This window comes from Homo sapiens, chromosome 3, assembly GCF_000001405.40.
Source record: "Homo sapiens chromosome 3, GRCh38.p14 Primary Assembly".
Lineage (NCBI taxonomy): Eukaryota > Metazoa > Chordata > Mammalia > Primates > Hominidae > Homo > Homo sapiens.
Window position 1 is genome coordinate 4,733,850 of NC_000003.12, and position 13,856 is coordinate 4,747,705.

General features: G+C 46.4%; 1 protein-coding gene across 4 annotated transcripts in view; it reads left to right on the forward strand.

Moving 5' to 3' along the window:
• The window catches only part of ITPR1 (inositol 1,4,5-trisphosphate receptor type 1), a 354,159-nt gene that overhangs the window by 240,502 nt on the left and 99,801 nt on the right, over positions 1-13,856 (forward strand). For all 4 annotated transcript variants that reach the window (NM_001378452.1, NM_001099952.4, NM_001168272.2 and 1 more), the window contains 1 exon segment: positions 1,315-1,505. In NM_001378452.1, coding sequence (NP_001365381.1) covers positions 1,315-1,505 — 191 coding nt within the window.

Below are 13,856 nucleotides of genomic sequence, written 5' to 3' on the forward strand. Positions count from 1 at the left end.
GTTTAAGCACAATTACAGGTAAAAGATACAAAAACATGGAACTCAAAGGTGGGTCTTACCTAGTTTGTGTTTTTAGGCAGTGCTCAAAGCACAGATGTGAGTTGCCTGATTTCCTGTCTTATGGTGATGACTGTGGGGCAGCTTCAGATCCTTGGTGGGTTCCATGTATAGCACAGAAATACTCAGTGTACGCTTAATTTGTCCTAGCACATGCTAAGGAGGAAGCCTGGACTTCTCACTAAATGAAAACTGGAAGCATAGCTGCCCAGTTCATGGAGCTATGCTGGCTTCAGTGAAGATGCAGTTCTCAAGGCATCCTAGAGATGAGAACTTGGCCTTTCAAATCCAAAAATCAATGCAGAGGTTCTTCACATAATCTCTCAAAACCATTCTCTTTACTTTCTGTAGTGAGGTCATTTAACAATTATGTGAAGCCCTTGGGGAGGCATCATGACAGGGATTTGGAAATGCAAGACAGACTCTGCTCTGAGAAGCTGTAGCAGAGAGAATGTGCAACCCAATTTCTACCTTGTGCTATAGATATAAGGACAAGTCAAGGACAAGCAGCATAAAGGAGGTGACATTGGAATTGAGTTCTGCACGAAAGGACAGATAGACAATTTTCTGCCTTTTGAAGCTGATCAGCCCATTTCTCCATGTGCGTTCATGGTTTAGTTATTGCCAATAGTAATACAAGGCAAGTCCTTAAATATGTACCTCCCAAACACAGTCAGAATCCATTCTAAATGGCATAGGTCCTCTCTTCTTAAGTATATTCATCTCCCCCATCCCCAGCTCTTGGCTCCACGCCAAGCAGTGAGCAAACATTTGTTGAATGAATAAACAGATAAATTATGTAAAAGAGTAAGTTGGGGGTTAGAGTAGGCTTGTTAAAAGGAGAGCTAAAGTGATCATTATAGGCTGAGCTTCCTTGAGAGTGTTCTAAGAAGTGTTTGACTTTGGTTTGTTTCTGAAACCAGTTCTGAACTCTGCCACAAGTAATTGTGTTTTAATGTAAGGGAGAGTCTTTGCTGGCTGGCTTTAGGTCCCTTGCTGGAAATGTATCATTCTTTTTTCATCTTACCTGTCTGAATTCAAACACCATCTCTGCTGCTGACAAGCTGGGTGTCCTTAGGGAAAGCACCTTCATCGCTCTGTGTTAATAATCAGTATTTTCCTTGTGGGATTAAAAGGGTTAAAAGAGATGAACATGGGTAAAGCATTTAGTGCATAAAGTGTTGGTGCGTAGTAAGTATGCAGCAAACATTAGCTGTTCTGATTGTGCTTAGTAAAAACAATATTCCATCTTCTTAGGGGGAGGTTCCGGATCCAGCTCTATGAGCAGGGGTGAGATGAGTCTGGCCGAGGTTCAGTGTCACCTTGACAAGGAGGGGGCTTCCAATCTAGTTATCGACCTCATCATGAACGCATCCAGTGACCGAGTGTTCCATGAAAGCATTCTCCTGGCCATTGCCCTTCTGGAAGGAGGCAACACCACCATCCAGGTAGGAAGGCAGCTTGGCTACTGGTATGGCATCCCTGCTGAGCAGGAGGAGAGTCTGTTCTGGGAGCCAGATGTCTGGGTGGTACCAAGCCTTGTTTGAGAGACAGCTCATTCTGAGGGCACAAAATTCTGTTTTGAAAAATGAGTTCTGCTAGTATCCTGCTGTGATCATTTGGTCATAAATCAGACTTGGTTCCAGAACATGAGTTACATTTGAAAACTGATAAAACACTGAGAATACGCAAAGGAAACTGGCCTAAGATCTGGCACATAGTGGGCACTCCATAAATGTTTGTTGAATAAGTAAATGATTGCATGAAGTTTATTTACAGTTTTTATCCAAGATTGTAGGGGATCTCATCACAAGATGACCAAAGAGTTTGAACTGTGTGTGCTATTTAGAAGATTTAACTTTTATGTATCTATAGATACCACAGCTGTTGCTTCTGATAAATTTACCTACCTTTTAACTGAAAGTTTAATAAAGCCAAATCAATTTGAAATACTAGAGATACCAGGCTATGTTAGTCAGAAATGAATAGATGACTTTTTGAAAGGTAGGTATGATATATATTTAAAACTAATAATAAAAACTCAAATTCTATTTCTAGTTCACTTTTTATAGATGTCCTTAAAAAACAATTTTCATGATTTTTTCTTCCACAACAGTCATCTTAGAACATGAATTTTAATAATACATAAATAACATAACTTTTATATATGATCCCTTTAAATATTTTTAATACCTCCTTTATGCACTCTTCCTTCTTTGTTAGCTCTCTGAATAAGAGTTTTTTTTTTGGACGTGTATCTATGTACAGACTCGTGTACACATACACACACACATATGTTTTGATAAAAGCTTTATTGAGATATAATCCACATACTGTAAAATTCACCCTGATGTATATATTTGACCTGACATATTCTTGGCCTTGAACTGAAATTCGGAGTCTCGGTTAATGAAGTCTTGGTTCTTTGTGCAACTTTGTAAAGGGCGTTTCTTCCTGTGAGTCAGTGTGCCCCCGGCCAGGGTGCCTGGCTTGGCAGGTGCAGCACAGGTGAGATTTCAGTCCCTGCCTGCTCCTCCAGCCAGCACCCTTGTGCCTTGGCACAACCTGTGCAGCCAACTGCGGTGGCCCTTTTCTTTCGCCTTCCAATCCCCGCTTCCCCCAACGTACACTTTTGAAGTTCATTGTCACGTGTTGCACCAGGTTGGGATTTGGGACAATGAGTGAGGCACCTGGGCCAGTGGCAAGGCCCACTGCTTGTCTAAGTTGTCACGTGGGCACGAGTCGTACACGTTGGGATTGCTTTTTATTTTGTCATGTGTGTGTGGGTGGGTCCTGCAGTCCTTCTCATCAATGGAATGTTGCCCAGCCACTGCTGTGTTCTGGGCTCCTGTGTTGGGAGGAAGCAGAGCTGAAATGCTCCTTGTCTTAGAACCACATGATTTCCTGTGATTAGAGCAGTTGAACTGAATAGTCATTGAGCCCTTTCTGCGTATGTGCTGCTATACCAGGGGCGATGATGGGGCAGTGGTTTCCAGACATGGGAGCCAGTTCGTCTGTGAGGATTTTCTCCAGGCATAGTCAAGTGTGGAAAATGAGGACAATGTGGTGAACTTTTCATAAACCAATGGATTCAGGTTGAAGACCTGGCCATTTTTTTCTGAGATTATATCTCTCCAATCTTTATCCTTAGCCACAGTGTCTTCTTTAATGAAATGGTGTTGATTATGGATGATAGATTTTTTTTTTCTGTTGGCCAAATTAGAAGTTGGAAACCCTAGGTTGTTATTCCTTCCCTTCCCCAAATTTCAAAGCTTTACCAGTTTGAGAAATCCCAGAATCTCAGTCCTCAAGAAATTGAACCTCTAACAAGGATACGTGGATGTGCACATACGATGCTATGTCTCAAGGATGACATTTAGTGCCCTCCAAGAAGTAGAAGTGATGCCGGGGAACCACCAAGGAAGAAGGACCAGCATCTCTCTGGGGAGCCTGCAGACGGTCTGTGGATGAAATGGGCTTTCAAGGATGGACATGGGACTGAAAGGGGGAAATTGGGCATGGACCTGGGGCATAAGGAATCTTTGTCATATTCCATGGTAGAGAGGGCCCAGAGGTGTGAGAGCAGCAGTTGGGTTTCCAGAACAGCGGTTGGGTCTTTCAGACCGAGGAGTGCTATGTAGAAGTGAAGGGCCTTGGATGGGGGTTGGGGTTCATATATAGGAGCAGTGCAGCCCTCCAAGGGGCTTTGGAGCTGTAACGGAGGACTATACACCTGGCAGTAGAGGACAGGTAAACTGAGGAAAGCAGGGTCCCAAGGAGGCAGTCTAAGAATTAAAAAGTTAATGGGCAGTAATTTGTGGAAGAGCTGATGAGAACCTGAACTTAAATCTCTGATAAAAGAGTTCATATCTTGGGAGAGGATATTTTCTCATAATGGCACAAGAGAGCTCTCTGGGTGCTGGAAACATATTCGACCTCTTTGTTTGGGTGGTGGTTACATGACTGTGCACATGTTTAAAACTCCGTGATCGTATCCTTTGCTGGGACACGGATGGAGCTGGAGACCATTATCCTTAGCAAAATAACACAGGAACAGAAAATCAAATACCGCATGTTCTCAGTTATAAGTGGGAGCTAAGTGACAGGAACACATGGACACTTATAGGGGGAACGACGCCCACTGGGGCTTTTCGGAAGGTGGAGGTCGGAAGGAGGGAGAGGATGGAAAAATAACTAATGGGTACTAGGTTTAATACCAGAGTGGTGAAGCAATCTATGTGATAAACCCCAGTGACACAAGCTTACCTATGTAACCTGCAATTGCAACCCTGAATTTAAAATAAAAGTTTAAAAAAGAAAAAAAACAACAACTCAGTAAGCCATATGCTTAAAATTAGTGTGCTTTACTGTACCTATGTTATATGTCAATCAACAAATAAAAGAAATGAGGGCAGGGAATGAGACTCTGAACCTTGCTGGGACTAAAGGGGTGGGGGTGAGGGACAGGATGTCACAAACAGAGACCCTGTCACTCCTTGCACCAGGCCCAGGCCTGGACCTGCTGATACTTGGTAAATGTTGGCTGAAATGGCGTCTGATTAGACGTGGAAGAGAAGTCAGAGGCCCCATTCGGTTCTGGGCTTGGCATCGGGATGACCAGGTGCACAAAGGCACCATTAATTAAGGACTAACAATGAAGTATAGTGGCTGGTGGGGCTGAGGGCCGCCAGCACTGAGGCTCCTGGGGAGACGATGTCTGTGGCTCTGGTGAGATGCCATGTTTTTCACGGAGCACCCTGATGGTGACGGCCAGGCACACAGAAGCTGTTTTTCCTTCAAGTTCTTTATCTTGTAAGGTCATTATGAATATTAGTTTCATGGTTTCACACATTTATTACTCATACACCCAGGCTGTAGATGAAATGCCATGATGGAGTTACCGCAGTTCAGCCACGTGTGGAGCAGGGATGTTTTCTCTTGGGGGAACGCAGGGGTGGTGTGGGGGCCTGTGGATCCATGCCAGGATGGAAGGGTGCGGGTGTGGCCGCACGCACATGCTGTTTTCTCCTCCCCGCTTCTGTGACCCCTGGGGGGCCCAGTCTAACCCAGTGTCTCACAGGAGGCCGATGGTTCCAGGAAAATGCCTTCTAGCCTAGACTTGACTTGTCAGAGCCCCTTGGCCCCAAGCTTCTCTTTCTCTGGAGAAAATGATGTGGAACTAGGGTTGTGTCTGGGGCCAGTTAAGGACAGGAACCTTGAAGCCCCAGGGGGAGTGATTCAGAGTTTCGTCTTGCTGTTGAGAAGTTGGTTCAGAGTAGTAAGTGGCCAGCTGGGAAGTGAGCCTGACTTGGGCTAAGACCACAGTGTGGCAATTAATGATTGCTGAGATGCTTTGCTCCACTGAAGACATGGTGGGTTCTTGCCGGAGCTGGTGGAGCACGGTCACTTCCTGTTCGGTGCACCATGGAGGGTCTCAGGAAGGGAAATGGGTCTGTGGTCAGCTGGCCTTCTTGAGATCCATGTTTCCTGATGACAGGTGGTAGAAAGGGGAGTTGCAGGGAAGCAGGCAGGCCTACACAGTTCCAGAAATGTATACAGTCTGCCCTCTGTGTTTGTCGGTTCTGCATCTGTGGATTCAACCAACTGCAGATTTAAAATATTTAGGGAACGCTGGGCACAGTGGCTCAAGGAAACAGAAACTCAAGGAGGTTATGACTTACTCAGAGTTCCAGAGCTGGACAAAACCCATGATAAAATATCCTGTACCTCTTGTCCGTCCCACCTCCACCTGTAGTTATCTGTCACTGAATAACCACCTAAAAATTTAATAGCCTAAAGCAATGGCCATTTTGGTGCCTAGCATGATTCTGTGAGCTTGGGCTCAGCTGGGTGGTTCTTTTGCTCTGTGTGATCTTGGCTGGGTCTGCAACCATCAGGGGGTTGACTGGTCTTAGAACAGCTTACGTGGTCACTCATATGACTGTGGCCATTGGTGCTGGTCCTTTGCTGAGAGCTCAGCTGGGGGTACTGCCTGGAGTGCCTTGGTTCTCTGTGTGGTTTGGGCTTCTTAGAACATGGTGACTGGGTTCTGAGAAACAGTGTTTCAAGAAGCAGGAAGTGGAAGCTACTAGCCTTTTCAAAGCCTGGGTTTAGAATTCCTAGAATATCACTTCTATCACATTCTATTGGTCAAAGCCAGACATGAGGCCAGCCCCATTTCAAAGGCGGGGAGAAAAACTCCACCTCTTATTGTGAGGAGGGTACATGTATAAAAAGAGAGAATTGTTGGGGACCACCTTTGGGGACTGGCTTCCTCACCACCACCCCCATTATAATCGATTGAGCACCTACCATGGGTCAGCCAGGCCCCCAAGCTGGATGCTACAGCTGCAGGAAAGGGAGACACCATTGTCTCTGCAGTTGAGGAGTTTGGATCTCCCTGGATACTAAATCCCTTCTTTGCAAAAGTGTTGACTCTTGTCTTTCTCCTTTTGGATGTTGTAAGAAAATTCAGTCCTGCCTTAGGATAAGCTCACTGGGAATCACAGCACTCCAGAAATTCTAGATTTCATTGTCCAGACCCTAGAGGATTCAATTTATGGGAATCCACAAATAATGACATACAGTGCTTGCTAGGCACTCTCATGGAGGGTTTGCTCCCTTATTATGAAACCCTGTCATCCATCACATCATCACCTAAAGCCCTGAAATGCCTGGAAGCCAAATACAGGTTACTTCCCAGTCTGGCATAATGGACTCCCAGGGGTGGTGTCCCCAGGTCTCCCAGCATCTTTTCTTCCTGCCCCGGCTCCTGCAATGGTGATAACATCTGAGGGTAGATCGTGACTCCCAGACTTCTCCTACCTGGCTGCCATCAGAGCAGGCTTCACATTGAACCCTCCGCTTATGGGAACAAGGAGACAGTACCACAGCCCGTGGATTTTCCAGAAACGGGTGACACGTTGTCAGGTGATAGGATCACGCTTGTCTTGAAGAGAACTTCCGGCTTTCTTTCTCCCCACTCTGGTGCCACCCGCTTCCTGTCAGCCCCCAGAAGAAATATTTCCTTGTGGCTTGATGTTTTGTAGCAAGTGGGAAACTATAAAATAAGCATTTGCTTATGAATTAATTTTTGGCACACATGGGGCTCAGCAGGGCTCACGGCACTTTCATATCCGTCCTTCGAGTCCTTGCCAATTTCTATGTTCCTTCCTCCTAAGATGTTCCCACCAGCGCCTGGGGGAAGTTCCCTTCGCTTCCTCTTCCTTACAGAAGGACAGGGGCTGTCCTTACCTGGAATGAAGAGGAGGACAGGCTATCTTTGGACATACCTCGTTTTTTATTTTTGTTTTTTTTAAGCCAATACAGATGTTTTGGGATATATATGCTGACATGACCATAGAGAACCTCCTAGCACATTATGGGGATAGATAGTTAAACATTTTTTTGGACTAATTGCTTCTGGTTTCAGAAGCACTGGGAATTTCATGTATCAAATGGCTGCCCACGTCTATTCCTATGCCAAAGTCTAGTCTACAGACACACCCGAAAAGGGTTTTCTTTTCTGCACGTAAGCAGCTAGAGATGGAAAATGTGAGAAGTGCTCCGTCAGGAAACTGGCCTGCAAATTCAGCAGAGAGAGTGATCCCTGGTTCATGAGGCCTTTCCTACACCACACTCTTTTTTTTTTTTTGAGGTTGGCTTAAGAAATCAGCCCAAGAACAAGTGTTAGATAGGAAATCTCACATCCCTTCCGGAAGTCACCAACACAGTGTGGGAGGGACACGTTGGTTGGGCTATCTCTGACCCCAGTTAGCAAAGAGATGAGGGCGGAAAGGGCAATTTGATTTGCCTCTGCTGGAAATGGAAGGCCAGTTTGTGAGGAAGATCAGCCTTGGTTTGACAGGGCAGTCACCCTGAGGAGGAGGAAAAGATTGGTGTGTGAGCAAGTTACGTAAATGGGTGTTGTTTTTGGCAGGGAAGTCAGGAATGAGTCACTTCTGAGCGGTGTTTTCTAACCTCAGGTTTTATCCATGTGGGAAAGGAGTGAAGCCAGCAGTGGAGTCAGGGCAGCTCTCCTCCTGCACGTGGGGGTTCGAGAGCTGTTGGCATTAAAGAAAGAGGGAGGCAGTGACTTGTCCCCAGCAGGCGTCCCCAGAGACACTGCCCTTCTGCGGAAGCTGTGAGGGGTCAGCAAAGCCACCCCAGGTTGGCTCAAGGACCAGCTTGGCTCCTTTGAGAAATGGTGGCGTAAAGGTTAGGGACTCAGGGAGGACCCCCTGGAAGGAGAGAGCCTATCAACTGCGGGCCTCCAGACCACAATATTTGTGCTGGAATTCCAGCTCTGCCCCTGCCAGCCTTCAGTGACCTTGGGGTTTGTCAGGGCCACTTTGAAACTCAGTTTCCTCATCTGCAAAATGAGGGTTGGAAAAGCCTAGTCCCTTCCTTATGGAGTTACGAAGAACATGAGGGTAAAGTGTGTGGTCCGGTAGACAAGTGGAGCTGCTGCCAGGGCTGCTGATTCTGTGGTGTGGGTACAGCCTGGGCTCAAGCCCTGCCTCCTATATGCCCACCTCAGGACTCCTGGCGAAGTCCACCTCACTCATCCCACTGGTTCCTGACTTGGAGAATAGGATGGTGACGGTTCCCACCTCAGAGAACTCCTGAGATGTTTTCACAGACTATTTATAGAAAGCACCTCACGTGGCATCTGGCCAATACAAAGATCTCAAGATGATGTGGTTCTTATTTTTATTTGTTCATATATATTTTTAAGAGATAGGGTCTTGCTATGTTGCTGAGGCTAGACTTGAACTCCTGGGCTCAAGCATTCCTCCTCCCTCAGCCTCCTGAGTAGCTGGGACTATAGGTGCGGACCACCATGCTCGGTTCTAATTAATAATATTTTTATTTATTTTAAATACATGCTGTATTTTGTGAAATGTGTTTTCTGTCTAAAATCCTACTTCTGATATTTTCTATTTTTGCATAGTGGTTTATCATCCAGCAGGCCTGGGGGACGCTCTGTCTTATGTTATTTTCACACTCAATTGACCCAAGTCCTTCTGACTGTATATTAAAAATGATTTTAGAACTCCAGGACATTGGGAAATTTCATTGCCTTGAGTACAGGTTATTTAGGTTGGTGCAAAAGTAATTGCGGTTTTTGCCACTAATAGTAATGAGAGACATTCTGGGATGAAGCAGAAAGAAAAACAGCAATCTAGTCACTTCTTTGTGGTTTGAAGTGCTCCCTGGCCCAGGCCATTGTCTTGTCTGTCCTTTTTTCCTTTCCTTTCTTTCCCTCCTTCTCTTCCTTTCCTCCTACTTTATCTGCCTTTGACCTGAACACCTCACACCCTTCTTCACCATTCCCAGGAAACTGGACTGTTATTGAACAGGAGTCCTTGAGGATTATTGGTCTAAATCCAGGTCTTAAGGAGGAAGCTCAAAATTCAAAAGTCGTTACATTCTTAGGCATATCAGACTTGAGTGAGCCCTCCTGCAGAAGAAGATGGCAGTTCCCACAACTCTGCCCTGGTCATCCTTAGCGCAGCTCTCTGAGTGACGGCAGACAGTAGGTAATGCATGCACCTACTGGCATTCAGTTTCCCAGTTCGGGGCAAGAAATTACTGCAAGACTTGTCAGCATCATTCATCTGTGAGTCCCTCCAGGTTGGTGATAAGAGGCACAATCCCTTTGAGGTGGTCCCAGGGGAGAATGTGCATCCTGGTTCATGCTTCCAGAGGAGCTGGAGACCCAGCGTGATTTTTCTTATTTCCTGAGTAGCAGAGCCAACAATATGGGCAGAAGTGGACAGTTACATACATCTGCTTGTCTGGCCTTCCATGAGAGGACTACAGTTGTTGAGGGGGAAGGGGGAGGGGAAGAACTTTGGAAGCAGAATGTTAATCTCCTTCCTTTCTGCGAAACCTAGAAGCAGGAATTTGTTTCTTGTTCGTTTGTCTGTTTGTTTGTTTGTTTGAGACGGAGTCTCACTATGTCACCCAAGCTGGAGTGCAGTGGCGCGATCTCAGCTCACTGCAACCTCCGCCTCATGGGTTCAAGCAATTCTCCTGTCTCAGCCTCCTGAGTAGCTGGGACTACAGGTGCCCACCCCCACGCCCAGCTAATTTTTTGTATTTTTAGTAGAGACGGGGTTTCTACATGTTGGCCAGGCTGGTCTTGAGCTCCAGACGTCAAGTGATCCGCCCGCCTCAGCCTCCCAAAGTGCTGGGATTACAGGCGTGAGCCACCACGCTGGCTAGGAATTTGTTTCTAAGAGGAGATGTCTTCAGAGAGAACCTCAGGTTTTCCACAGTCTCCAAAATTTTACTAAAAGTGCAGAGAAAAATGACAGAGAAGACCTGGAAATTTTTGTAAAGTGAGGCATCAATTCATTTTATCCCACTGAATCCTCAACAGGTCCAGATATTCCTTATTTCTTTCTCTTCCTTCTGGTCTAGCAAGAGGTCTGTGCTCTTCCTAACTTTCTTTAGTGACTTCCGAGTGTGAGATGCCTCTTGGGAACTGCCAGGCAGAGGATTGGTCAGTCTTCCTCTGGAGGTTCAGGGATTAGTAAATGGTAGCCCACGGGAAAAATCCAGACAGCTGCCTGTGTTTGTAGATAAAGTTTTATTGGTGCATAGCTGCAGTTTTTCCTTTGGGATTGTCCTAACTGCTTTCCTGCTTCAGGGGCAGAGTTGAGTAGTTGTGACAGATAGCTGCAATGACCCTCAGCGTGTGAAATGTTTACCATTTGGCCCTTTGGAAAAATGTTTGCTGACCCTAGGGTTTGTTTAATCTTTACTATGTAGATGTTAAACTGCCTAAGGGAAAGAACCACAGTATTTCCCCTTTGTTCTGTGCTCCTCATCCCCTGGTATGGCAATTTTTAAGTAAATATTCACCAGATGAGCAATATCCTAAGTCCCAAGATATGTTGGCCACTTACTCAGCTAATAAATGGGAATTCAGGGAAACAGGCTGGGGCCTCCCTCCCTCCCTTCCTCCCTCTCTGTCTCCCTCCCTCCTTCCTTCCTTCCTTCCTTCCTTCCTTCCTTCCTTCCTTCCTTCCTTCCCTCCCTCCCTCCTTCCTTCCTTCGTTCCCCTCTTTCCCTCCTTCTCTCCTTCTCTTTCCTTCCTTCCTCCTTCCCTTTCTTTTCTTCTTTATCTCTTTCTTTTCCTTTCTCTTTCTGTGTTTTCTTTCTTTCTCTCTCTTTCTCACTGTCTTTTTTTTTTCTTTCCCTCCTTCCCTCCCTCCCTCTCTTCCTCCCTCCCTTCTTTCCTTCCCTTCCTTTCCCCTTTTCCTTCATTTTTTTCTTTCTTTTCTTTCTTCCTTTTGGTGGGAGCAGACAGGGTTGTTTTTTAAAAGACGTTTTCTTCCCTAGAGTCATCTCTGCTCTCCCCACATAGCCTCTGCCAGGATGTACTCCATCACCCCAGTTTACTATCTTTCAACACAGATTCGGGACGCAGACAAAGCAGGACATTCCTTAGGAAATTGTATATGTAGCCTGAGAGTCCAGACACCTGCGATTACAGACTTTGGATCTGTGAGCCCCCTCTGACCGTCCTACCCCAAAGCATCATGGTTTCAGGTTAGTCACTCCCTTATGGCTTAATGCTGTGCTATTTCTGTGCCTCCTACAAACGTTTTCCTAGTGGTAAACACAGGGACTTCTCAGGGCATATACGGTTGACCTTAAAACATCTGAAATGTTTTGAGGCCCCATCTCCAGCCTGTTTGCCTTCTTTTTCTACCGATCCCCTTGGGTAATCTCATCTACTGCCCAGGCCTCCAGCAGCCATTTATGCCAACACCTCCCAAAGATACAGCTCTCGGTCCCACCTCTCTGCCGATTTCTAGATTTCTGCTCAAATCCCTGATGGGCATCTCCACTTGTGTTAGCTATAAGTTAGCAGGACCCCATGACACTGTCATCTCCCTTCCTCCATTCTATTTGCCCTCTCGTGTTCCATAGCTTTCTCAGTGGACTCACCACCAGCCAAGGATACCCAAGCTAGAAGCTTTGCAGTCATCAGACTTCTTTTTCTCTTGCTTTTCTCCAGGAACTAATCTGTGCCCACTCTACCTCCTGGGAGTTTAACCATTGTTAGGACTTATAATGAGCCAGATAGTTGGCACTGTGAATTCAGAGTGGCCCAGCTGGGAATGGAGGAGCAGCGGTTTGAAACTAGGCACTGTTACTTCAGGATTCATATTCTTGACCACCAGGCTCGACCGCCTGCCAGCATAGGGCTGCTGAGATCTGCACCTGTCAGCCTTTTTGCCTGGATAACTGAGATAGCCTTTTAGTGGCCTCCTGCCTCTGGGCATTTCTCTCTTCCACGCGGTTGTCAGTGATGCCCCCCAAATGGAACCCTCACTACCTGCTTCCCCATCTGAACAGCCTTCTGTGGAGTATGGAGCCCATGGCCACCCTGATGGAACCCATCAGTGCCTCACGTGGTCTGGCCCCACCTGGGTTTCTCCACTCACTCCCCTACGCTTATTGTCCTGCAGCTGCAACTCATGCCTGCCAATCCCCAGCGGGGCCATGAACTCAGATGCCTTTGCTTCATGTGGGACGTGCCCTCATTCCCTTTGGCAGGCTCCCCAAGCCCTGATTGAAATGTCTCCTACTCTAGAAACTTCCTCTTGATCCCCTGAGGCAGAGATAATGGGTTGTGCTTCATTTACTGTAGTAATGACCACACTTCAACTGGAGCTTGACTGTAAGACCCGAGGGGGCAGAGACCAAGTCTGTCTTCACTCCGAGTCCCCTCGAGGAGCCTCCACACGTGCTGGATGAAAGGTCCTCAGTGTGTACATGATGAATCAGTGTGGATACTCCTACTGTATAAACTATTCTGGGAATTCACTGAGATAATATGTGGAAGGCACTCAGCTCAGCATGGAGCTTTTAACACATCGTAACAGCTCATCCAAAGCAACTCTGCTTACTTTTTGGTTGTTTATCTTCCCTCACCCACTAACTCGCCCAAGGGTGCACTTTCTTCCGGGGTCAAGTCTCCATCTGACTCCCCAGCACTCAGACTGTAAATGTAGAGATAGAAGTTCTGACCCAGTGTGGCCACCGTGTTACTTTAGCCTTCTTACCATTTTTGAATAGAAACATGAGGATGTGAAATGTGAACTTGTGTTGTTGATGATTATTGCCATTTTAAAGGGGACCTTCTTTAGGTGTGGGAGGGAATTGATCTGAGCCCATGGGAAATACATGTCAACTTGGAGAAATAGCCTTATGATGGCAGCAGTCCTCTTTTCTTCTTCTTTGTAATAATGATGGACAGTAGTGGTAACAAGTGCTCATGTACCACGGGCTAGCCAGGCGCCCTCACTGCATGGTCTCATCCATCTTCCTGGGGCGCCTATGTAGTAGGTACTGTTTTGATCCCTTTCTGCTAATGAGGAAATAGAGGATCCGAGAGGTCAGGTTATATGCTCAGAGTCACAGAGCCAGCTGGTAGTTGTTCCAGGGTTTGTTTTCTGCCAGAACGTGAGTTTGTAACCTCTCTACCATGCCGCCTCCTTACTCCACCAATTTTCCAGGCACAGACATGGCCGCTTCAAGGACTTTGCGTCTGTTTGCCAGGCAGATTGGAAGTTGTGCCTCCACATTTTGTTTTCTTTGGTAGTGGAGTCTTTGTGGGAGACACTGTGCCCTCCTGATAATCAGAAGGCAGCTCGAGTGGTCAGTGTATTTGCTTTGTTTATAAGGTCTGCCCATGAATTCTGGAGGAGGAAATCATGAAAGACTTTTCCTTTCAGACTGGGCATCTCATTTGCCAAATGACAATTATGTGTGCTACA